At 40.3% G+C, this 23,703-nt stretch overlaps 1 protein-coding gene and 2 pseudogenes across 1 annotated transcript; all 3 read left to right on the forward strand.

Annotated features, from left to right (window-relative positions):
• Positions 1,054-1,810, forward strand: KRTAP9-11P (keratin associated protein 9-11, pseudogene; annotated as a pseudogene).
• Positions 5,475-5,984, forward strand: KRTAP9-7 (keratin associated protein 9-7). The gene has a single exon (NM_001277332.1). The coding sequence runs from the start codon at positions 5,475-5,477 to the stop codon at positions 5,982-5,984; it is 510 nt and encodes a 169-aa protein (NP_001264261.1).
• KRTAP9-10P (keratin associated protein 9-10, pseudogene) lies at positions 10,381-10,587 on the forward strand (annotated as a pseudogene).

A 23,703-nucleotide genomic window follows, 5' to 3' on the forward strand; every position in this document is an offset into this window, starting at 1 on the left:
TGGGATTAATTTCTATTTCCTAACCTGGTAATGGGAACACAGATGTATTTACAGTTATATCAAGTTGGAAATTAATAATTTGCATTCTTCCAAAATGAATGGTATACCTAAAAAATGTTTAAATATGTTGGAACTCCAAGACAAATCAGGTATCATCTCAACTCATCTAATTCCTTCATTAAAAAGAAATAGACAGAGAGAGAAGAAATGGCCCTGATTGTGTTAGTACCAGAGTTAGGGCTAGAGCTACAGCTCATGCAGGTTTGCCTGAATCTAAAGTAGTTATGTTACAGAAAGTCCCACATTCTCATCCTGGTAAGTCCCTCACTCCCAGACAAATCAAGATGAATGGTCACCCCAGGGCAAAGATTGCCTGATGTTATCTAAATCACACTGGACTTCTCTTTGTACCCACCTGCTTTGGTTCTCTCTGACACATAAAACACATTGTACCAATCACCCTCTTCCCAAGTGACTTTGATGGAGCTGAAAGACACAGGTGGTGTGGGTTGTACAGAGAGCAATGCCTGTTAGTCTTGAATCAGACTTTGGTGGCTGAACAATCTAGGCCACAGATATGAATTCATTTAGTCATTGTGAACACATCAGCATCACGCTTCCCGCAACAGACACTTCCCAATCTACATACAACCAAAGAAGGAGGCTGGGTAGAGAGAACTTCCTGAGCCTAACCGGTCACCAGGAACTATCACATAATCAGAAGATGGTCACATCAGGAACGATGCAGATGTTGAGAGGGGCTTCCTTTTATCGAAAATAAACTTTCTATGAGTAAACTACAATTAAGCAACAGAAAATAACAGAAAACTAAGAAATTAAGCAACAGAAAATTAAATAATTTTCTTCTGAAAATTACTTTCAAAAGATTCATAACCTTTAGGAAACAACGTCCCCTTTGACAATACCACAATGACTGTGGAAAACAATGTAAACAGCAACAAGGAAAAGTCCTGCTGTTTGGTGGAAACTTTGGAGGCCAGGTGTATAAAAGGTCCAGATTGCAAGGGGTCATCAGATTCTGGGAAACTCACCTCTGAACAGAAACCCACCCTCCACCCCTGACACCATGACCCACTGCTGTTCCCCTTGCTGTCAGCCTACATGCTGCAGGACCACCTGCTGCAGGACAACCTGCTGGAAGCCCACCACTGTGACCACCTGCAGCAGCACATCCTGCTGCCAGCCCTCCTGCTGTGTGTCCAGCTGCTGCCAGCCTTGCTGCCACCCAACTTGCTGTCAAAACACCTGCTGCAGGACCACCTGCTGCCAGCCCACCTGTGTGACCAGCTGCTGCCAGCCTTCCTGCTGCAGCACACCCTGCTAACAGCCCACCTGCTGTGGGTCCAGCTGCTGTGGCCAAATCATCTGTGGGTCCAGCTGCTGCCAGCCCAGCTCCTGTGCACCCATCTACTGCAGGAGAACCTGCTACCACCCCACGAGTGTCTGCCTGCCTGGTTGCCTAAATCAGAGCTGTGGCTCCAGCTGCTGCCAGCCCTGCTGCCGCCCAGCCTGCTGTGAGACCACCTGCTGCAGGACCACTTGCTTCCAGCCCACTTCTGTGATCAGCTGCTGTCAGCCTTCTTGCTGCTGACCAACTCTCCAGAGGACCACCATCCTCACACAGCAACCTTCTGGCAACCTTCTGTCCTCCTCTTGGAGGACAAATTTACTTTCAAACTTTGCTGACAACCAGCATGCTCACCCTAATTTTTATGACTTCTCTGCATGTTTAACATCTTGTGAATCAGCTTGAGGGAGGGCAGAGTACTTCATCCTGATTCTTTTTTTCTTTATACCTTGTAGATCATGTGCCAGCCTCATGTATTTTCAATTTGAGTCATGGTCTCAGCTTGACTCTAAAGTCAAGAGCTTCATTCTCTTTCTCCAAGAAGCTTAGGTTTTGCAACTCATCAATGATCTTCACAATCATGTTTTCATTTTCAATGTCCTCCTCGTGTTTCTTGTATCCTTCTTTTCATGATCATTTTGGGCTATCTCCCTAGAAACAGGGACCATTACATATATGTTTCTTAATAAACTCAAAACCATTCTTCTTATCACATGGTGTTTTTTTTTATTTTACAGCATTCCTGATATGGGATTTACACACATATTGCATACCATGTATGTTACCTAATTTGATTATCAAAACAGACAGTCATGTTTTATTACCTCCACTTTCCAGCTGAAAAAATTTTAATGTGTGATGTTATTTAGCTAAAAATGGACAGACTCAGATGCAAAGTTGGGTCTTTTTTTCTGTCCAAAGGCACTTACATTTAACTCTCAATAAAGAAAAAACTATATTGGGACTCAGCATTAGCAAGATATGCACTTAAGTTTACTTAACAATGGAGGAATAATCTCCTGTATTTGCAGATAACATTTCCATTCTTATATGGCTTCCTTCTTCTTCTCCTGAATACATATTGACAAGGCAAAATGAACTTAAATTATTCCTTATAAAATACAGATGCCATCTTTTGAGACTGTATATCTGGGATGCTGTGAAGATTCCAGAGAGAGAGAAAAGCCGCTGACTGGGATAGTCGTTGGGTGATGGGGTAAAGGAGACGAAGAACTAGCACATTCTCTTTGACCTACATCAGTTATATAAGACAAATAAGTTTTGCAGATCTGGTGTACACTAATTTGGATATAGTTTAAAATACTTTTTTGTACACCTGAAATTTGCTGAGAAAGTGGATCTTAAATATTCCCACCACAAAAATAAAAAGGAAATGGTAACTATGTGAGCTAATAAATATGTGATTATTTCACAATGAATATATATATCAAAACATAACCTTTTATACCTTACATATACACAATTTTTATTTGTTAATTATACCTCAAAAAAGCTAGTAAAGAAAGAATTTAGTTGATCTGGTTAGTTATTATACATATATTATCTTCAAAATTAAAATTATTTTTTAAGTTTTCTGGACAAAAAAAGAACTAATATGTTCTGGGTTGACTTCTATTTGATAGGTAGTGACTAAATGCTTTATTTTCATTAATATTTATTCTCAAAGAAATGTTCAAAGTAAGTATTAATGTTACCATTGTAGAGAGGAGGAAATTGAGGCTGAGAGAGTTAATGTAATATCATAGTGTGGTTTCTCCCAGAACAGATACCAAGAAAAATACTCCAGTGAAAGTAGTTTATTGGGAAGTGCAGATCACACCGGTAGGGATCAGGAAAGTGACACAGAAGAGGGTACACTATTGAGCTGGTAAGTATCACAGTGACTAACTAAAGCTTAAACCAAAGGGAAAACTATTAGAAATGATGAAAAACACATAAATTAGAATTCTCCAACTTCAGGAATAAAGGAGCTAGAGTCTTTGTAAATCAGCTCCCCAGAATCAATGGTCGAGTGTTTTTCGCTCTGTGGCATGCAGAAGTGACATGACTTTCTGCAGGTACAATACAAGAGCCTTTAGGCACAGAGATGCAGATTCTGGAAGATAGAAACTGGCCTGAGCACACTAAAATCCAAAATATATGGATGGGATAATGAAAACGTTATCTATGATCTGCCATTTGCTCTACTCAGATTTATTCTTTGCTTCTTAACTGTGATGGATAGCCAGAAATTCTAGGAAAAGGAGGGAGGGGAGGAGAGGAAGAAAATGGACAGAAAGGTCTGAGCTGCTAGTTACTGTACCATTGTCCACTGCGATTGCTGTTTTCACTCATTTGTGGTTATCACTGGGCATGGACACACTATGAGATTCTCCAATATTATGGCTTGACTTGTGTCCCCCAAAATTCATATTCAAATAGGGATATTGAAACTGTAATTACTTAAGATCCAGTCATATTGGAATCAGGCTTCTGATTCAATATTACTGATGCCTGTATAGAATGGGTAAGTTCAGAGGCAGTGTGCATCTAGAAGGATGGTCATGTTAGAGACACATGGAGAAGACAGACATCCACACTTCAAGGAGAGAGACCTGGAACAGATGCTTTCCTAACAGTCCTCAGGTGAAAACAACCTTGGCAACACCTTAAATCCAGACTGCTAGCCTTCAGAACTGCAAGAATATAAATTTAAGCCACTTGGTTTGTAGTGGTTTATCACAGCAGTGCTAGTAAATTAGTATGTTCAGTAAATCTCCTGAGCTACAGATACATTCTCCTACATGCCATGAAAACAGGATAATTACCCCTCACCAAAAAGGAACTCTTTTCTCTGCCTTCTGATCTGCTGACATGAAGAGTGCAAAATGACTAGGCAATAATTATTACCTCTGATTATGCAAAAGAAATAGAGAAGCAAATATTATAATTTTTATTCACACGAAGTAAAAAAGGAATAGCCAAATTGACCTACAGGGTTGCAACTTGATAGAGTGATTAGTGGTTTTTTGGGATGAGTAAAGGAATATAATTTAAAGGGAATGGGATTAATTTCTATTTCCTAACCTGGTAATGGGGACATAGCTTTATTTACAAAGTTATAACAAGTTGGAAATTAATAATTTGCATTCTTCTGAAATGAATGGTATACCTAAAAAATGTTTTAATATGTTAGAACTCCAAGACGAATCAGCTATCATCTCAACTCATCTAATTTCTTCATTAAAAAGAAATGGAGAAAGATAGAGAAAAGAAATGGCACTGACTATGCTACTACCAGAGTTAGGGCTAGAGCCACAGCTCATGCTGGCTTGCCTGAGTCTAAAGCACTTATGTTACACAAAGTCCCACATTTTCATTATGGTAAGCCCCTCTCTCCCAGACAAATCAGAATGAATGGTCAACCCAGGGCAAAGATTGCCTGATGCTATCTAAATCCCACTGGACTTCTCCTCGTACCCACCTGCTCTGGTTCTGCTCTGACACATAGAACACACTGTACCAATCACCCTTTTCCCAAGTGACTTTGATGGAGGTGAAAGACACAGGTGGTGTGGGTTGTACAGAGAGAGATGCCTGTTAGTCTTGAAACAGATTTTGGTGGGTGAACAGTCTTGAACATAGGCATGGATTCATTTTGTCTTTGTGACCATATCAGAATCATGATTCTCCCCACAGACACTTGCCAACCTACATACAACCAAAGAATGAGGCTGGGTAGAGAGAACTTCCTGAGCCTCCCTGGTCACCAGGAACTATCACATCACCAGAAGATGGTCAGAGCAGGAACAATGCTGATGATGAGACGGGCTTCCTTTTATCTGAAATAGTTTCTATGAGTAATCCACAATTAAGCAACAGATTAAACCCTTACTTTCAAAAGATTTATAACCTTTAGAAAACAACTTCCCCTTTGACAATACCAAAATGACTGTGGAAAACAACATAAACAGCAACAAGGAAAAGTCCTGCTGATTGGTGGAAACTTTGGAGGCCAGTTGTATAAAAGGTCCAGAGGGCAAGGGGTCATCAGATCCTGGGAAATTCACCTCTGAACAGAAGTCCACCCTCCACCCCTGACACCATGACCCACTGTTGCTCCCCTTGCTGTCAGCCTACCTGCTGCAGGACCACCTGCTGGAAGCCCACCACTGTGACCACCTGCAGCAGCACACCCTGCTGCCAGCCCTCCTGCTGTGTGTCCAGCTGCTGCCAGCCTTGCTGCCACCCAACTTGCTGTCAAAACACCTGCTGCAGGACCACCTGCTGCCAGCCCACCTGTGTGACCAGCTGCTGCCAGCCTTCCTGCTGCAGCACACCCTGCTGCCAGCCCATCTGCTGTGGGTCCAGCTGCTGTGGCCAAACCAGCTGTGGGTCCAGCTGCTGCCAGCCCAGCTCCTGTGCACCCATCTACTGCAGGAGAACCTGCTACCACCCCACGAGTGTCTACCTGCCTGGTTGCCTAAACCAGAGCTGTGGCTCCAGCTGCTGCCAGCCGTGCTGCCGCCCAGCCTGCTGTGAGACTACCTGCTGCAGGACCACTTGCTTCCAGCCCACCTGTGTGACCAGCTGCTGTCAGCCTGCTTGCTGCTGATCAGTTCCGCAGAGGACCATCATCCCCATACAGTAACCCTCTGGCAAAAGATTTACCTTCTGGGGGACAAATTTACTTTCAAACTGTGATGAAAACCAACAAAGTGAACTTAGGGTGAACTTTGCTCACCCTAATTTTTATGACTTCTCTGCATGTTTAACATTTTGTGAATCAGCTTGAGTGAGGGTAGAGTACTTCATCCTGATTCTTTTTTCCTTACACCTTGTGGATCATGTGCCACCTTCATGTATTTTCAATTTGGAGTCATGGTCTCAGCTTGACTCTAAAGTCAAGAGCTTCATTCCCTTTCTCTAAGAAACTTAGGTTTTGCAACTGATCAATAATCTTCACAATCATGTTTTCATTTTCAGTGTCCTCCTCGTGGTTCTTTTATCCTTATTCCTTTCATGATCATTTTGGGTTATCTCCCTAGAAACAGGGACTCTTACCTATATGTTTCTTAATAAACTCAAAGCTGTCCTTCATCTCACATGGTGTTTTTTTTTATTTTACAGCATTCCTGATATGGGATTTACACACATATTCCATACCATACATGTTACCTAATTTGATTATAAAAACAGATGGTCATGTTTTATTACCTCTACTTTCCAGCTGAGGAAAATTTTAATGTGTGATGTTATTTAGCTAAAAATGCAGACTCAGATTTAAGGTTGGGTCTTCTCTTTCTGTCCAAGAGCACTTATATTTAACTCTCATTAAAGTAAAAATTACATTGGGACTCTACATTCGCAAGACATGCACTTAAGTTGACTCAACAATGGAGGAGTAATCTCCTGTATTTGCAGGTAACATTTGCAGATAACATTTCCATTCTTATATGGCTTCCTTCTTCTCCTGAATACATATTGGCAAGGCAAAATGAACTTAAGTTATTCCTTAAAAAATACAGATGCCATCTTTTGAGACTGTATATCTGGAATGCTCTGAAGATTCCAGAAAGAGAGAAAAGCCGCTGACTGGGATAGTCGTTGGGTGGTGGGGTAAAGGAGAACTAGCACATTCTCATGACCAACATCAGTTATATAAGACGAATATGTTCTGCAGATCTGGTGCACTCTAATGTGGACATAGTTTAAAATACTTTATTGTATACCTGAAATTTGCTGAGAAAGTGGATCTTAAATGTTCACACCACAACAATAAAAAGGAAATGGTGACTATGTGAGCTAATAAATATATTATTATTTCACACTGTATATATATATATACCTCAAAACATAACCTTTTATACCTTACATATACACAATTTTTATTTGTTAATTATACCTCAATAAAACTAGTAAAGAAAGAATTTAGTTGATCTAGTTAGTTATTTTAAATATATTCTTATATTCAATATTAAAATTATTTTTTAAGTTTTCTGGACAAAAAAAGAACTAATATGTTCTAGGTTGCCTACTATTTGATAGATAGTGACTACATGCTTTATGTTCATTAATATTTATTCTTGAGGAAATGTTCAAAGTAGGTATTAATGTTACCATTGTAGAGATGAGGAAATTGAGGCTGAGAGAGTTAATGTAATGTCATAGTGTGGTTTCTCCCAGAACAGATACTTAGAAAAATATTCCAGTGAAAGTAGTTTATTGGGAAGTGCAGATCACACCATTAGGGATCAGAGAAGAGATACAGAAAAGGGTATACTATTGAGCCAGTAAGTATCACAGTGACCAACTAAAATTTAAACCAAAGGGAAAACTATCAGAAATGATGAAAAACACATAAATTAGCAATCTCTATCTTCAGGAATAAGGGAGCTAGAGTCTTTGTAAATCAGCTCTCCAAGATCATTGGTTGAGTTGAGTGATAGTCCTCTGTGTGGAATGCACAGGTGACATGACTTTCTGCAGTTGCAATACAAGAGCCCTTAGGCACAGAGATGCAGATTCTGGCAAATAGAAACTGGCCCAAGCACACTAAGATCTGAGAAATATGGACAGGATAATGAAAATGTCATCTATGGTCTGTCATTCGCTCCACTCAGATCCAATCTTTGCTTCTTAACTGTGATGGACAGCCAGAAATTCTAGGAGAAGGAGGTAGAGGAGGAGAGAAAGAAGAGGGACAGAAGGTTCTGAGCTGCTAGTTACTATACCGTTGTCCACTGTGATTGCTGTTACTCATTTGTGGTTATCACTAGGCATGGACACGCTCTGAGATACTTCCATATTTGGATTGATTTTTTTCCCCAGAAATTCATAGCCAAATAAGGTCATTGAGAATGTAACTAGTTAAGTAAGGTCACATTGGAATAAACTGGTCTTCTTATTCAATATGACTGGTGTCTGTATGAAAAGGATGGTAGAATAGAAGGAAGGGAAGGTAAGAGGAAAGGAAGGCAGGAAGGAAGAAGGGAAGGAGAGATATAAAATAAAGGCCAAATGGAACAAGATACAGTTACTACTGTAATAGGGTTCACCTGAGATTCATCATCTCCATTAGTTACCACAAGTTCTATACTCCCTTCACCACTGGCCAGCACTTCTGTTGTCTAGATAATTGCCTGATGATGTAAGCCAGAACCTCCTGCCTGAAGGGTCTGACCCTCTAGTTACTGTGTTATTGTCCACTGTGATTCCTGTTACTCATTTGCAGTTATCATCAGCCATGGACACACTCTGAGATACTTCAATATTTGGATTGACTTGTTTCCCCAGAAATTCATCACCAAATAGGGTCATTGAGAATGTAACTAGTTAAGGTAAGGTCACATTGGAATAAAATGGGCCTCTGATTCAATATAACTGGTGTCTGCATGACAAGTAAAGTTCGCCACACACCTACAGTCACCTCATTTTCAACAAAGGTGCCAAGAGCATACACTGGGAAAAAGGCATTCTCTTCAATAAACCATGCTGGGAAAACTAGATATCTCTATGCAGAGGAATGAAACTAGATCCCTCTTTCTCACCACATACAAAAATCAAATCAAATTAGATCGAAGACTTGAATCTAAGACCTCGAACTATGAAACTACTACAAGAAAATATTGGGGAAAATCTCCAGGACATTGGTCTGGGCAAAAATTTCTTGAGCAATACCCCGCAAGCACAGGCAACCAAAGCAAAAATAAACAAATGGGATCACATCAAATTAAAAAGCTTCTGCACAGCAAAGGAAACAATAACAAAGAGACAACCCACAGAATGGGAGAAAATATTTGCAAAATACCTATGCATTGTTAATGAATTAACAACCAGAATATAAGGAGGTCAAATAATTCTATAGGAAAAAAAATCTAATAATCTGATCACAAAATGGGCAAAAGATTTGAATTGACATTTCTCAAAAGAAGACATATAAATAAGCATATGAAAAGGTGTTCACCATCATTGATCATCAGAGAAATGCAAATCAAAACTACAATGAGAGATCATCTCACCCCAGTTAAAATGGCTTATATCCAAAAGGCAGGCAATGACAAATGCTGATGCAGATGTGGAGAAAAGAGAACGCTCGTGCATTCTTGGTGGGAATGTAAATTAGTACAAGCGCTATGGAAGACACTTTGGAGGTTCCTCAAAAAACTAAAAACTGAGCTACCATATTATCCAGCAATCACACTCCTCGGTATATACCCAGAAGAAGAGAAATTGGTATATCAAAGAGACATCTGCACTCCTATATTTGTTGCAACACTGTTTACAATAGCTAAGATTTAGCAGCAATGTAAGTGTCCACCAACAGATGAGTGGATAAAGAAAATGTGGTACATACACCAAATGAAGTATTATTCAGCCATAAAAAAGAATGAGATCAAGTCATTTGCAACAACATGGATGGAGTTGAAGATCATTATGTTAAGTAAAATAAGCCAGGCACAGAAAGACAAACACCACATACACATCCGGAGTAGGTTGCACAAAGACAGGTAGGTGCCTGTTATTCTTGAATCAGGCCTTGTAGGTGAATAGCCTTGACGCAGGCATGGATTCAGTTCATCACTGTGAACCTATCAGCATCATGCTCCTCCCCACAGACACTCCCCAAAGAACAAGCTGGGGAGAGACACCTGCCCTGACCTTCCAAGGCCAGTAGGAACTATCACATGACCACATGATGACCAGAGCAGGAAGGATGTCAATGATGTGACCACCTTCCTTTTATCTGAAACAAAGTTTCTAACAGTTATTCTCAATTAAGAAACAGATTAAGCCCTTACTCTCAGAAGATCTATAATATTTAGGAAACAACATCCTCTTCAATAATCCCAAACTGACTACGGAAAACAATGTAAACAACAACAAGGAAAAGTCCTGCTGATTGGTGGAAACTTTGGAGGCTTAGTGTATAGAAGGTCCAGATTGGAAGGAGTCATCAGATTCCGGGAAATTTACCTCTAAACAGGAGCCCACCCTCCACCCCTGACATCATGACCCAGTGTTGCTCCCCTTGCTGCCAGCCTATGTGCTGCAAGACCACCTGCTACAGGAGCATCTGCTGTGGGTCCAGCTCCCGCCCGCCTTGCTGTGGCCCAATTTGCTGTGCAATCACCTGCTACAGGACCGTCTGTGTGACCACCTGCTGCAGCCCACCCTGCTGCCAGCCCACCTACTGTGAGTCCAGCTGCTACCAGCCTTACCAATGAACTAACTCCCACTCCCCTGACTTTGTTGACAACCAACATACTGTTGCCAAACATTTGATGTGTTATATTGTTAAATTGTGAGGCTGCTTAGTGAAGTGGAGCTGGCTTCACTTTGATTTTTCTCTTCCTTATTTCCTATATATCAGAGTGCCAGCTGCTAGTCATCTTCATGGATCCTTGACATGAACTCAAGATCTCAGCCAAGGAAAAATTGTCATCCCCTTTTCCCTCTAACAATCTTAAAATATCAAATCCCTAAGACTGTTCTCTTAAGTCTCTGCAACTGATCAATATTGCTGCAAACGCCCAATATCAACCACGTTATATCAATGTACTCATTATTCCTGTGTCCTGCTTCTCACCTCCATAATCAGTTAGAATTATCTTCAAGGATCTAGAACTAGAAATACCATTTGACCCAGCAATCCCATTACTGGGTATATACCCAAAGGCTTATAAATCATGCTACTATAAAGACGCATGCACACGTATGTTTGCTGCGGCACTATTCACAATAGCAAAGACGTGGAACCAACCCAAATGTCCATCAGTGATAGACTGGATTAAGAAATATGGCACATATACACCATGGAATACTATGCAGCCATAAAAAAGGATGAGTTCATGTCCTTTGCAGGGACATGGATGCAGCTGGAAACCATCATTCTAAGCAAACTATCACAAGGACAGAAAACCAAATACCGCATGTTCTCCCTCATAGGTGGGAATTGAACAATGAGAACACTTGGACAAAGGGCAGGGAACACCACACCCCAGGGCCTGTCATGGGGTGGGGGTCAGGGGGAGGGATAGCATTAGGAGAAATACCTAATGTAAATGACGAGTTAACGGGTGCGGCAAACCAACATGGCACATGTATACCTATGTAACAAACCTGCATGTTGTGCACATGTACCCTAAACTTACAGTATAATAAAAAAATTATTTTAAAAAAAAGAATTATCTTCCTAAAGTCTTTCCTGTCATGGACCATACATTGGGGTTTTGTTCTGCACAGCTATTCCTTTAAAAGGCCTTGCATGTGTATTGTATTTCCTATTATCTCTTCTAATCTCATAGTAACCCCACAAGGTGGGCAAAGCAAAGACTATCATTTGCACATTACAAATGGGAAAAATCACTGGCCTCAGGTCATACAGTTAGAAATTGATAGAATTAAGTCCAATACCCAGATGTTCTGAATCTTGATCCAGGGCATTATTATTTAGATTTTAATACAAGTAGAAATAACTCTGGTGTCTGAGTTTTAGGGAAGGTGTATGATTTGAGTTGCTTGTTGACAAATGAAAATGAAATGTCTTGTACATGTAGGTCACTTTTCTACCTAAAAATGCAGAATACTTGAACAAAAAAGACTAAGAAACACCCTGCAATGCGCACAAGACACAGTTTCTGTGCTCCAAATGCTGGATCAACCTAGCTTCTCAATCAGAGGATTATAAGGGTAGTGCATATTTACAGAATCCTCAGAATTGAAGTAACTGAGCAATGGGTATATAATGCTTTGATCCAACCAGTGCCTCAATGTTGTGAGGCAAAGTTGAAGCAGAGGAGATTCAACATCAGAGTATTAGAAAAAGAAAACATAAGGATTTGAGAAAGAAAATAAAGGAAACTGGTCACTCTTAAAAAGTATACTGGATATAATGACAATAGACGTTATTGTAGTCCCCCAAAGTGGGAGCTAGACTTTCCGAAGAGCTGAACACCAAAGAGGATACCAAGATATTTCTTGAAAAAAAAGAACAGATACTGGCTCCAGGGGAAAAATAATATTCTGTGGCCTGAGCTATCACATAGTAGTTAGGTCTTAGGAAATCTAAGAAGGTGGAGGGATTTTCCAAAGAGGCTTCCATGTTGTCTGACTTGCTAAGTGCTTGCTCTCCTGATGCATTCAAGGATGAGCTGAGGCACTACCATTTACTGAGTAACTACAGGTATTAGTCTAGGTTTTTCTAATTCATAATCCACCAATGTTTTATTTTCCTCATTTCACAGATGAAGAAACAGAGGCTAAGGGAGATGAAGGAACTTGTTCAAAGTTGTACAGTTAACAGTTGACCTGGCTTCAAACACTAAGCTGTCTACACTACACTCACTGTGTGTGCTATGCTCCCTGCCCCTACCAGTCTAGAGACATAACCGGGTCTATGGAGTCTTGAATATGACAGCAAATTACTTGGTACCCTCACACAGTCTCATTTCCTTATTCTACCAATAGTTGGGACTTCGGGAGAGTGAATAAGAATAAAGACTTACATCTGGATATTAAAACAATCCTTTATTTAAATAAGATTTATTGAGCACTTACTGTGTGTTAAGTACTGTGCCAGGTGCTGTGATTACAGAAGTGAACGAGACATTCAACATCCTCACCTTTATTGTGCTTCGGGAAGAATACAAACAAGAGACAAAATTTATACAGTAGAAGTGAGGAAGGTGAGCCTATATTATTAATGATATAGGAAGGGTGGTTCATGACGACTGTATCTAACAGAATTGTATCTTAGCAACGAATCAGAGAGGGAAGGAAATAAAAAACTTCCATTTTGAACCCATGAATCAATTTACCAAGTAGAACAACAGGGGTGATACTGAAAGAACTCAGGTACAAAAATTCCCCAAAAATGTAAATGCAGAAACAATAAAACATGGTTGGAATATATTAAGTACTTCCCCCAAAGCCTGCAGCTTGTAGGTAGCAGAACAGGCATGATGCAAATACTCATCTATGTGATTTCGATCCTCATGGCCCAGACTTTCCTGCCTTCTTCCACAGTGGAAAACCTGTGCATGAACAAAGAAGGGAAGATGAACCCATGAGCTCTCTTTGTGTGGACATACTGCAGTCTTCCTGGCCAAACACAGGAAATTGATGATACATTGCAAAGGCAGATCACAAAACCAGCACACATGGGAGGAGAAGGGATGAAGGAACATCCAACAATCTAGCTATTTTGTGGGGACCTCAGAATCACTAAAATTGAGCAGAAGGTTCTTAGGCAACCAGGTAAACCACCTTGATCTAGATTTTAACAATGAGAAGGACTTGGTAAGCAAAGGTTAGTGATGATAAACTTGCTGCAAAAGGACCATGTAAAAATTTGTGATAGCAAGGCAAGGAAATGCTTGTTTGGCTGGAACTGCATTCTACAGAGCAGGAAGATAATTGGCTATTTACAGGAACATGAATGTGATTTTCCAGCAAAGGGCACTGGAATAGAGGATGGAGCTAAGGGTAGGGAAGCGCTCAGAAAAGCCATTCTGATTGCTTAGTCACAGATGCTTCTAATGAGGAAAAAGTTCAGGGGGTCTAGAGTGAGTACAGAAATTCTCTAAAAGCTCTTTAAAAGATCTTCCTAGGAATGGAACAGACCACCCCGGGTGTATGAATTTCCATTTACTAGACACTTAAGCATTGGATCTGGCAACACATGGCAGGAAGTTTATTAGGATTCCTTCCATGCCTGAGATTCTTTGAGATCCTTAAACACTCTGTCTTGCCCCATCATTATTTGATTAATTAATTGCTAACAGGTTGTTATTCTCTGAACTCCGTAAGCATTCACATACATAATGCTTTAAAGAAAGCATACACACTGTCATGATAATTGGCATTCCCTTGGAGATAAAAAAAAAAAAAAAATAAGGACTATCTCCCCAATGGCATGCAAGGTAGAATTCACAACCCTTGATAAATGTACCTGGTTCTGGCCTTTAGCCTTGCAGACTCAGAGACCTGATTTTGCTTACATTCTAAGGGTTAAGCCACGTCTTAGAGCAGACACCTGTTAGCCAAGCCCAAAAAGCAAGGATGCCTATTTATTAAATTACAGGAGAATTAAGTAACAGGAACTTCTAAAACACCACATGAGTAAGGAATCAGACAGGAAGTTATATAAACTAAATGTTGAATGGCATTTGACATGTTCGTTTCACAATAGTTCTCACCAATGGAAATTGAAAATTCATAGTCCCTCTCCTGTGGGCAGTTGCCTGGAGGCACACTGCCAACATTCACCCCAGCACTTGTCTTAACCCTGATTTTCCATGGTTCAACAATACTCTAATTTAACTTTCACATTTTTACATCTTCAATTAGACTTGAATCAATTCCTCAGACTTTGAATGCATACATCTTTTTAAGGTGACGCTACATAATTTGGTTTTGATCGTTTTGAACATAGGTTCCAAGTCTTGGATGATATCTGACTGTACCAATGCATTCTCATTCACACCATTGCATGGTGAGCATCCATGATGAAATTTATATTTGGTTTAGTTCATGTCTACCATCATATCTGTTGACTATTTGTAATATTTCTATTGCATGTCAGGATAACTTGGGCTTTGTTTATCTTTCTTATCTCACTAAGTCTTTAAAAAAAGATTACTGTGTGATACAGAGTTGTCATCATAGTGATAATGTAGAATTATCATCAGAGTGTTGGGTTGACTCTTATGATTTTGTGTGTGTCTTTGTTCATCTAATTATAATCTAACATCACCAACCTGTTATGAGTGACACACCACATACTTCTTCCTTCCTCCCTGCTGTGAGTTATAGTGGTGATTGGACTATAATTAATTTATTCTTCTTAGAATTTGAATTACACATAAAAGACAATCCCTAGGTTAGGCCCTCTAGTGCAATGTAATATTGTTATGGAAAGAACAGGGATTAATTTCAGAAAAACCAGCCTGTGTTTCCTACATTCAAAATAGGGAAAACTCGGCTCTTTCATCACTGGACACCTTCTCCTTGGAACCTCTTCTGACAGATGGTTCAGATAACACAGCTTGGGATTTTTCTTGTGAATATGCAGGAAACAAGAATGAATGTTATATTCTAAGATCAAACGCTGGGATAAATTTAATTAAATTGTAGGTTTGGAGATAACTAATGCAGAAAATATAGGATTAAAAATCAGAAATAAAATTAAAATGATTCCCACTTAAATAAACAAATATAGACATTATTCTAGAATATAAATCAAGAAAGCCTAAATTGGATAGATTGTATAAACTCGCTAAGGAAAGCATGCAAGCCTTATCCATCCTTTATTATCACTGCGTTCCACAGTGGCTGTGGCCTGTCCCAGACCAGAAAACCTTCAGATCCTCTTTCTAAACAAAAGCATTCCTTATGCAAGATAAGGACAAGGTAAAAACCAAGCTCTTCAGCCCCAGTCAGATTCCTGCTTGGAACAAAGATTAAGATGGAAAGGGTCAAATTTCAATAATCTTCTGCCCTTTAAGGTTGATTCCTAGCAAAATCAACCCAGTTTTTTCCAAGCATTCCCCTTTAAGTGCCCAATAGTAATAAATATAGCAAAGCATAAGTATACTTAATATATAAAACAAACCACTCACTAAGACCAACATTAAGTCCACTATGAAAGAACTGTACCTACACAAATAGGTGATGATAAGAATATAAGGGATTTCATTTAAGATCTACTGGTAAAATTATGATTAAGACATAAGAAAGGAGGACTTCTTAATATTACTTATATATTCAAAGAATAATATTTGAACAGAATTGTGTAGAAGGACAGCTGGAAAGGGGAATAGTGGCCCCAAATGGATGTAAACAGCATAGGAGAGAATTTAGTTTCTTTAAATGAGTTCTAGTTTCCTGACCGTGGACAAACTACTTCTCAGATACTGAGACATCTTCCAAGTGAGAACATTGAACACTGAGCTCTTTTTTTTTTTTTTTTTTTTTTTTTTTTTTGAGATAAGTCTCGCTCTGTCACCAGGCTGGAGTGCAGTGGTGCGATCTCGGCTCACTGCAACCTCCACCTCCAAGGTTCAAGCAATTCTCCTGCTTCAGCCTCCTGAGTAGCTGGGATTACAGGTGCCCGCCACCATGCCCATGTTTCACCATGTTGGCCAGGATGGTCTCGATCTCTTGACCTCATGATCTTTGGGAGGCCCACACTGGCCTCCCAAAGTGCTGGGATTACAGGTGTGAGCCACCACACCCAGCCAAGAACATTGAACTCTTATTGGTGATGTTTGAAGAATCGTGGGGAACCTAAAATTTGGGAGACTGGATCTATATTAGCATCAGAGAAAATTTTCATTCAATCTGAACTGATCAAAATAAGGATAGCTCCCTCTCCTTCAGGAAGCATTGAGCATGCCAGCATTTGCAAAATATATACCCGAACTTGAATTGCAAGAGCAGTTTTTTCCTTTTTGGCCCTGAAAATAACTTACAACATCCAAGAAGACTTTAAACAATCTATCTTTTACCTATTGCACAATTTGTTATTATACAATAGGGGGCTTATTGTTATTATTGTTGTTTGTAATGGTATTTCTAGGGCTTTCTATATTTCAAATGACTGACTCTTAATTCTGTTTAGTGCTGAATCACTGTTTTCCTCTTTCGTTTTTCTTTTAACTGGTAAATATTAACTTCCTTCATACAGCTCTGTCCTAAGACAGGTACAGCTAGCTTATTGGTGACAGCCGGACATGCTTGCACTGAATGACCGATGGTTTCCACTCTTCTTCTTTCCTCCTCTTTCCTAGTAGCTCAGTTCAATAAGGTTAAGCCCTTTTCTGATGGTTTGAGATACATTTAAAATGAATTTCTTATATTTATTTTTCTGGTGAAATAATATGTTATCAGGGAAACAATAGGGATTTGGCTTTTAAAAATTCATCATAGTCTTGTTAAAAAAAAAATTATTCAATGGCACTTGTGAAAGCCTGGTAAGGGAGACTTTATTCAGGAACACTGCAGTAAACAAAGGAACCACCATAACAGGGTCTTGCATTGGGAGACAGAGATTGGACTCATCTCCTAACATAGCATGGGCAAGTGAGAATTTACAGCCAAGGAGCAGGGTGGCGGTCAGTGGATGGAAAATTACTAAGAGGAAGCATCACCAGTAGGGAAATTTTGGCTAAACTGACCTAAAAGTGCTCTTGCTGAAGACAGGCGAGGGTGATCAAACATCACTTGGAGAATGGTGGCAGATAAGAGATCTGATCCGCTATTAAGGGTGATCAGATATCGAGGATGGGGAGTTCTTGCTAAACCTATTTAGCAGGGCTCTTTGCTAAAATTTTACAAAACTGGATTTTACAAGGAAGTGCACCCATGGGCCTATGAGAAGGTTCAGAAGCTTGACTAAACTATGGACAAGGAAAAAAATCTTCATTGGTCCTTACTGCCTTTTTAAAGAAACATTGGACTTCATGGCCACTAGTGAGGGTTTGGATTTAACTAATGAGTATCACTAGAAATTGGACATGCATGAGATTCACCATCCCTGTCCACCACCTCTGCTGATTGTCTTAATAACTGGTTAATTTTGCCACCTCTAAAATATCTTTCCTGCACATTTCTTCATTGTATTTATAATTTGAATTATCTTCTTTGCAACTAAGGCATTTCCCAATTTATCACCTAGTAATCTATACTCATCTTGCATATCCTTTCGTGACCTAGATTATGTGTGCAGTATATCCTTCATAAGCTCTTAAATTTAAAGGATATTTTATATTTTACAAAGCTTTTTCCCATTTTGGCCTGGCACAGTGGCTCACACCTGTAATCCCAGCACTTTGAAAGGCCAAGGCAGGAGGATCATTTGAGGTCAGGAGTTCGAGACCAGCCTGGCCAACATGGCAAAACCCGTCTCTACTAAAAATACAAAATTAACCAGGCTTGGCAGTGTGCACCTGTATTCCCAGCTACTCGGGAGGCTTAGGCACGAAAATCACTTGAACCTGGGAGGCAGAGTTTGCAGTGAGCTGAGATCGCGCCACTGCACTCCAGCCTGGGTGAAAGAGCAAGACTTTGTCTCAAAAATTAATTAATTAATTAATATTTTTAAAAAAACAAAGTTCTTTCACATCTATTCCCATGCCACTAAGTCAAGAGACTAATTTTTAAGACTTCGGGAAAGATCTATGGATCCCATCCATGCTGACTTAGAGCATAAGCAAATAGTTCATTTAAACAGCAACCCTTTAACCAGGCACAGTGGCTCACACCTGTAATCCTAGCACTTTGGGAGGCCAAGGTGGGTGGATCACTTGAGGTCAGGAGTTCAAAACCAGCCTGACAAATGTGGTGAAACCCCGTCTCTATTAAAAATGCAAAAAATTAGTGGGGTGTGGTGACACGCACCTGCAATCTCAGCTACTCGGCAGGCTGAGGCAGGAGAATCGCTTGAACCCAGGAGGCGGAGGTTGCAGTGAGCCAACATCAAGCCACTGCACTCTAGACTGTGCGACAGAGCAAGACTGTGTCTAAAAAGAGCAATCCTTGGATTTTGTTTGCAACAGCTCTAGACTATTTATCAGGAAATCACTACCATCAAATATTTTTCCAGTTCCAGCTAGGTTCAGGTGTTGCCAAGAAGTTTCTGATGAAGTGGGCTACAGGAGGGAACTTACTTCTAGATGTTATAGAACTATTGTTGTAAGATGAATTTATTTAGGTGGGCAAACTGATGAGACCAACATGAGTAACACCAAATGCCGTACACCACGCAGATGGGCAAGTTTCATGTTATACTGGGGACTCATGGGCTCATTACACCCATCTTTTGGGCCATTTTTATGTCTCAAATATCAGTTTTTATTCTGTTGTCTTAACTTATAGCCACTGAGATAACTCCCTACTGATATTTAGTTTCCAAGTTGACCTTTACAAGGCTGCCTTAACTTTGCCCCTTAACATCCTTTATCAAAGCCCATTACACGAATCCCACATTTGAGATTTCCAAAATAAGACAATCATGCATAGCTTTTCCTCAGGAATGGAACTTCTCAGGACAAGTCTGACGTGTACCCTAGTTATTAAATAGATAGGGAAACAATCAGAAAAATGACAGGGGAAATTTCATTCTAATAGACACTGGGAGAAAAGATGGCTTATGTTGACTTAATTCTTTTTAAAATACTTTACTGTGTGTGATTAGTATCCTAAGGCCTTTTAAAATACTTTTCAGTATACTATAAAGATGCCAGAGGGAGTTATAAGGAGCTATGGGCTGGGATTTGATTGAAAAAGTCCAAGTAGGTCAGGCGTGGTGGCTTGTGCCTGTAATCCCAGCACTTTGGGAGGGCAAGGCAGGCAGATCACTTGAGGTCAGGAGTTCAAAACCAGCCTGGCCAACGTGGTGAAACCCCATCTCTACTTAAAAAAATAAAAAATAAAGGCCAAGTAGAGAATACGAGTTTGAGCCATATGAAGTTTCCATTTTTGTAGATCAAAAATAACTGCATAGCTACAACTTCAAAGGTTTAGCCTTAGGAAGAAAGATTCGTGAACAAGTCATTAAACAGGGATGGTAGGAGTCCATGAGAAGAATGAAAGAAGCTCCAGATGCTTTTTGGTTGGAAAAAAACAAAAACAAAAACAAAAACAAAACAGCAGAAAACATGGTGAAAATGTGTTTTTTAATGAAATGGTTGTAAACAAAGTGAGTATGCCATTAAACAGGAAAAGGCCTATTGCTTTGTACTGATAATCTTGTACTGTGCTTGCGATATAGAAATCAACGCTCCTCTTATTTCTCTTTAGTCTTTTTTTTTTTTTTAATAGACAGAGTTTCGCTCCTGTTGCCCAGGCTGGAGTGCAATGGTGCGATCTCGGCTCACCGCAACCTCCACCTCCTGGGTTCAAGCAATTCTCCTGCCTCAGCCTCCCAAGTAGCTGGGATTACAGGTGCCCACCATGCCCGGTTTCTTTCTTTCTTTCTTTTCTTTCTTTTCTTTCTTTCTTTCTTTCTTCCTTTCTTTCCTTCTTTCTTTCTTTCATCTTTAGTAGAGACAGGGTTTCACCACATGGGCCAGGCTGGTCTTGAACTCCTGACCTTAGATGATCCACCCGCCTCAGCCTCCCAAAATGCTGGAATTACAAGCATGAGCCACTGTGCCCAGCCTTTTCTTCAGTCTTTCTAATGAGAATAGTAACCAACCATCTGTAAAGAGAAAGAGAAAACCAAGATTAGGGCATAATAAGCAGTAACCAGTAGTTTGTCCCTGGGGAGGGGGATGTGGATGGGGTGTTTGGAAACTAGGACTTCCCATTTTTTTTCCTACATTGTTTTCCCCCTCAAGCACAGGTTACTTTTATAACAAAAGAAAAATTGAAATGTTTCCTTCTGAACTGAAATGAGAAAACTTGCAACAAGAGCGACAGATTTTAATTCCTTTTGATCTGAATAAAGAGAGCTATAAGCACTAAAAGAAGTTTAATATGAAGTAAGCTCCTCAGTGTGATGTTGCATTTTTTGTATGATGCATTTGTATCCACCCTTCATCCAATTCATGATCCATGAACTGTAAATATGTCAGTATCTGGCAAGGAAAATCTGGGCTTATAAAAGGAACCTGGCCTCCTTATTTCAGGCTGAGAGCAGGGATTGAGAGAAGATCTGAGATCTCCCGGTGGCGTATGGCACAAAGACTGTGAAGGTTATGCTAGAAACACTCTTATTTGGTGTCTATCTTTTCAGACAATAGGAAATAATTGAATTGGAAAAATGACTAAACATTGATAAGGACAAATCAATTTTGCAAATGCTTAGATTCTCTAAATAAATTCATGTCACTGCATGCTGTGCACATTAGGTCCCAGAGCAGTTAGAGACTGAAAATAAACCACATATTGATATTTGAGGAATGTTAGAGAACAAGAGCTACTCAACGTGTTGAGACAAGCAAAGACCATCCCAATTTTTCAAGTTTCTGCAAACCATACACCAATCAGCTTGATCTTATCTTAGAAAAAGACTTTAGAATAAATTGTTCAGATGATCTTTTGTGAATGCCAAAAAATAAAACATGGTACCACTTAGACCAACCCATGTAAAATAACTTTTTATTTTTGCTAGATTCATTGATAAACGAAATTCAGTACAAAATGAATCTGGATTTCAGCAGAGCATTTCAAAAGGACTCTCATCGTAGCTTATGAAAACATTGCAGAAAGGTGGATTCAATTCAGTGACAATTTGCCAAGACATGTTTTATTCTAATGTCACTGTCTTACTTTATCCAATAATAATAAGAACTTGATCCTAAATTCAAACTGAGGCCCTGGATAAGAGATGGGCTAGAGGGGCAGATAGGCAGACAGTTTGGGGCAGACTCACTGGACAGTCTTTTCTGCAGATGCTCAGAGCATCTAGAGATTGCTAGGAGGAGACAGTATTGTTAACTTGGACTCAAACTAACAAGCCATACTTCTGAAGCTAATATTAAACCTGAACCTGAAGAATTCCCTCTTCCAGGCAGTGGCGGTCAGGACATCATTATGGCTGGAGTAGAAATCTGAACTTAGAAACAGGCATTCAAAAGCAGGAACATACTGGGCGCAGGGGTTCATGCCTGTAATCCCAGCACTTTGGAAGGCTGAGGCGGGCAGGATCACCTGAGGTCAGAAGTTCGAGACCAGCCTGGCCAACATGGTGAAACCCTGTCTCTACTGCAAATACAAAAATTAGCTGGGCATGGTGGTGGATGCCTGTAGTCCCAGCTACTCAGGAGGCTGAGGCAGGAGAATCGCTTGAACCTGGGAGGGGGAGGTTGCAATTAGCCGAGATTGCACCATTGCACTCCAGGCTGGGTGACAAGAGCAAAATTCGGTCAAAAAAAAAAGCAGGAACAAAGGATATCAATACAGGGACCAGAAAACCTTTGAGCAGTGGTAGAGGTTGCCCCTACAGGAGGACAAATGCCACCTCACTAAATAGGGACTTAGACATTCAAATACCAGCACATTTCCTCTTCAGGGCGGAGATCTCTGTAATCCCAGCACTTTGGAGGCTGAGGCAGGCAGATCATGAGTTCAGGAGATCAAGACCATCCTGGCTAACACGGAGAAACCCCGTCTCTACTAAAAATACAAAAAATTAGCCGGCCGTGGTGGTGGGCACCTGTAGTCCCAGCTACTCAGGAGGCTGAGGCAAGAGAATGGCGTGAACCCCGGAGGCGGAATTTGCAGTGAGTGGTGATCGCGCCACTGCACTCCAGCATGGGTGACAGAGCGAGACTCTGTCTCAAAAACAAACAAACAAACAAAAGAATAGTATTTAATTATATCATCAGGCAGACATGACCTGGAAAATATGGACTATACTCAAAAGAAGAGGATGGCTATTCCCTATCCTGTACTGGCTAACAGATAATTTGATCGTGAGTTAGGCTCTGATCATGCCCCTTTTAAAGGAATATTGAATAATTGGAAAGTCTTGCAAGTAGAGCAACTATCCTGAGAATAGGACTGGAATTCAAGTCACATAATGAAAAATGATGGTATCCAGTGATAATTATCCCAGAGAAAAGAAGATCTTTGGGGGAAGGGAAAGACTTAATGTAGAAGATGGATTAGATGTGTCCTGTGTGGCCTTATAGGGTCAAGAAACAAGACGACCGATTTAAGCAAAAATAAGTGAAAAGTCATTCCTGGAGCTGACTAGAGAGACACATGTTTTCTTGGGAAGTCGTGTGCCCTATTCTCTGGAGACAGGAAAACACAGACAAAAAAACTAATAGGGATGTCACAGAATGCTTGCGTAAATAAATGGGTAATTTGATCAACTGATATGCAAGATTCCTTAAGTCATTAAGGATTTATGAAGGCATGTCTCATGCCTGTAACCCAGCACTTTGGGAGGCTGAGGCAGGCAGACCACTTGAGGTCAGGAGTTTGAGACCAGCCTTGGCTAACATGGTGAAACCCCATCTCTAGTAAAAATACAAAAATTAGCCAGTTGTGGTGGCATGCACTTGTAATCCCAGCTACTTGGGAGGCTGAGGCTGCGGCTGCAGAATTGCTTGAACCCAGGAGGCGGAGGCTGCAGCGAGCCAGGATTGCACCATTGCACTTCAGCCTGGGCGACAGAGTGAGACTCTGTCTCAAAAAAAAAAAAAGACTTATGAAAGCAATGATCATACAAGTTCTGACCATTGTCCTGAATTTTAACCAAGGTACCCGTCAGAGTAGGAAACCTACATCTCAGAGTGGTTTTGCCATTACCAAAGCCATTCTTGACTTTAGTTGTTTTCAAAGTTTACACCACCCGATTTAACTGCCATTATCCTTCCCAT

Source organism: Homo sapiens, chromosome 17, assembly GCF_000001405.40.
Source record: "Homo sapiens chromosome 17, GRCh38.p14 Primary Assembly".
NCBI lineage: Eukaryota > Metazoa > Chordata > Mammalia > Primates > Hominidae > Homo > Homo sapiens.

Bases quoted from the DNA above. Each gene is read 5' to 3' on its own strand.
- KRTAP9-7 (NM_001277332.1), top strand. From the start codon at position 5,475: ATGACCCACTGTTGCTCCCCTTGCTGTCAGCCTACCTGCTGCAGGACC.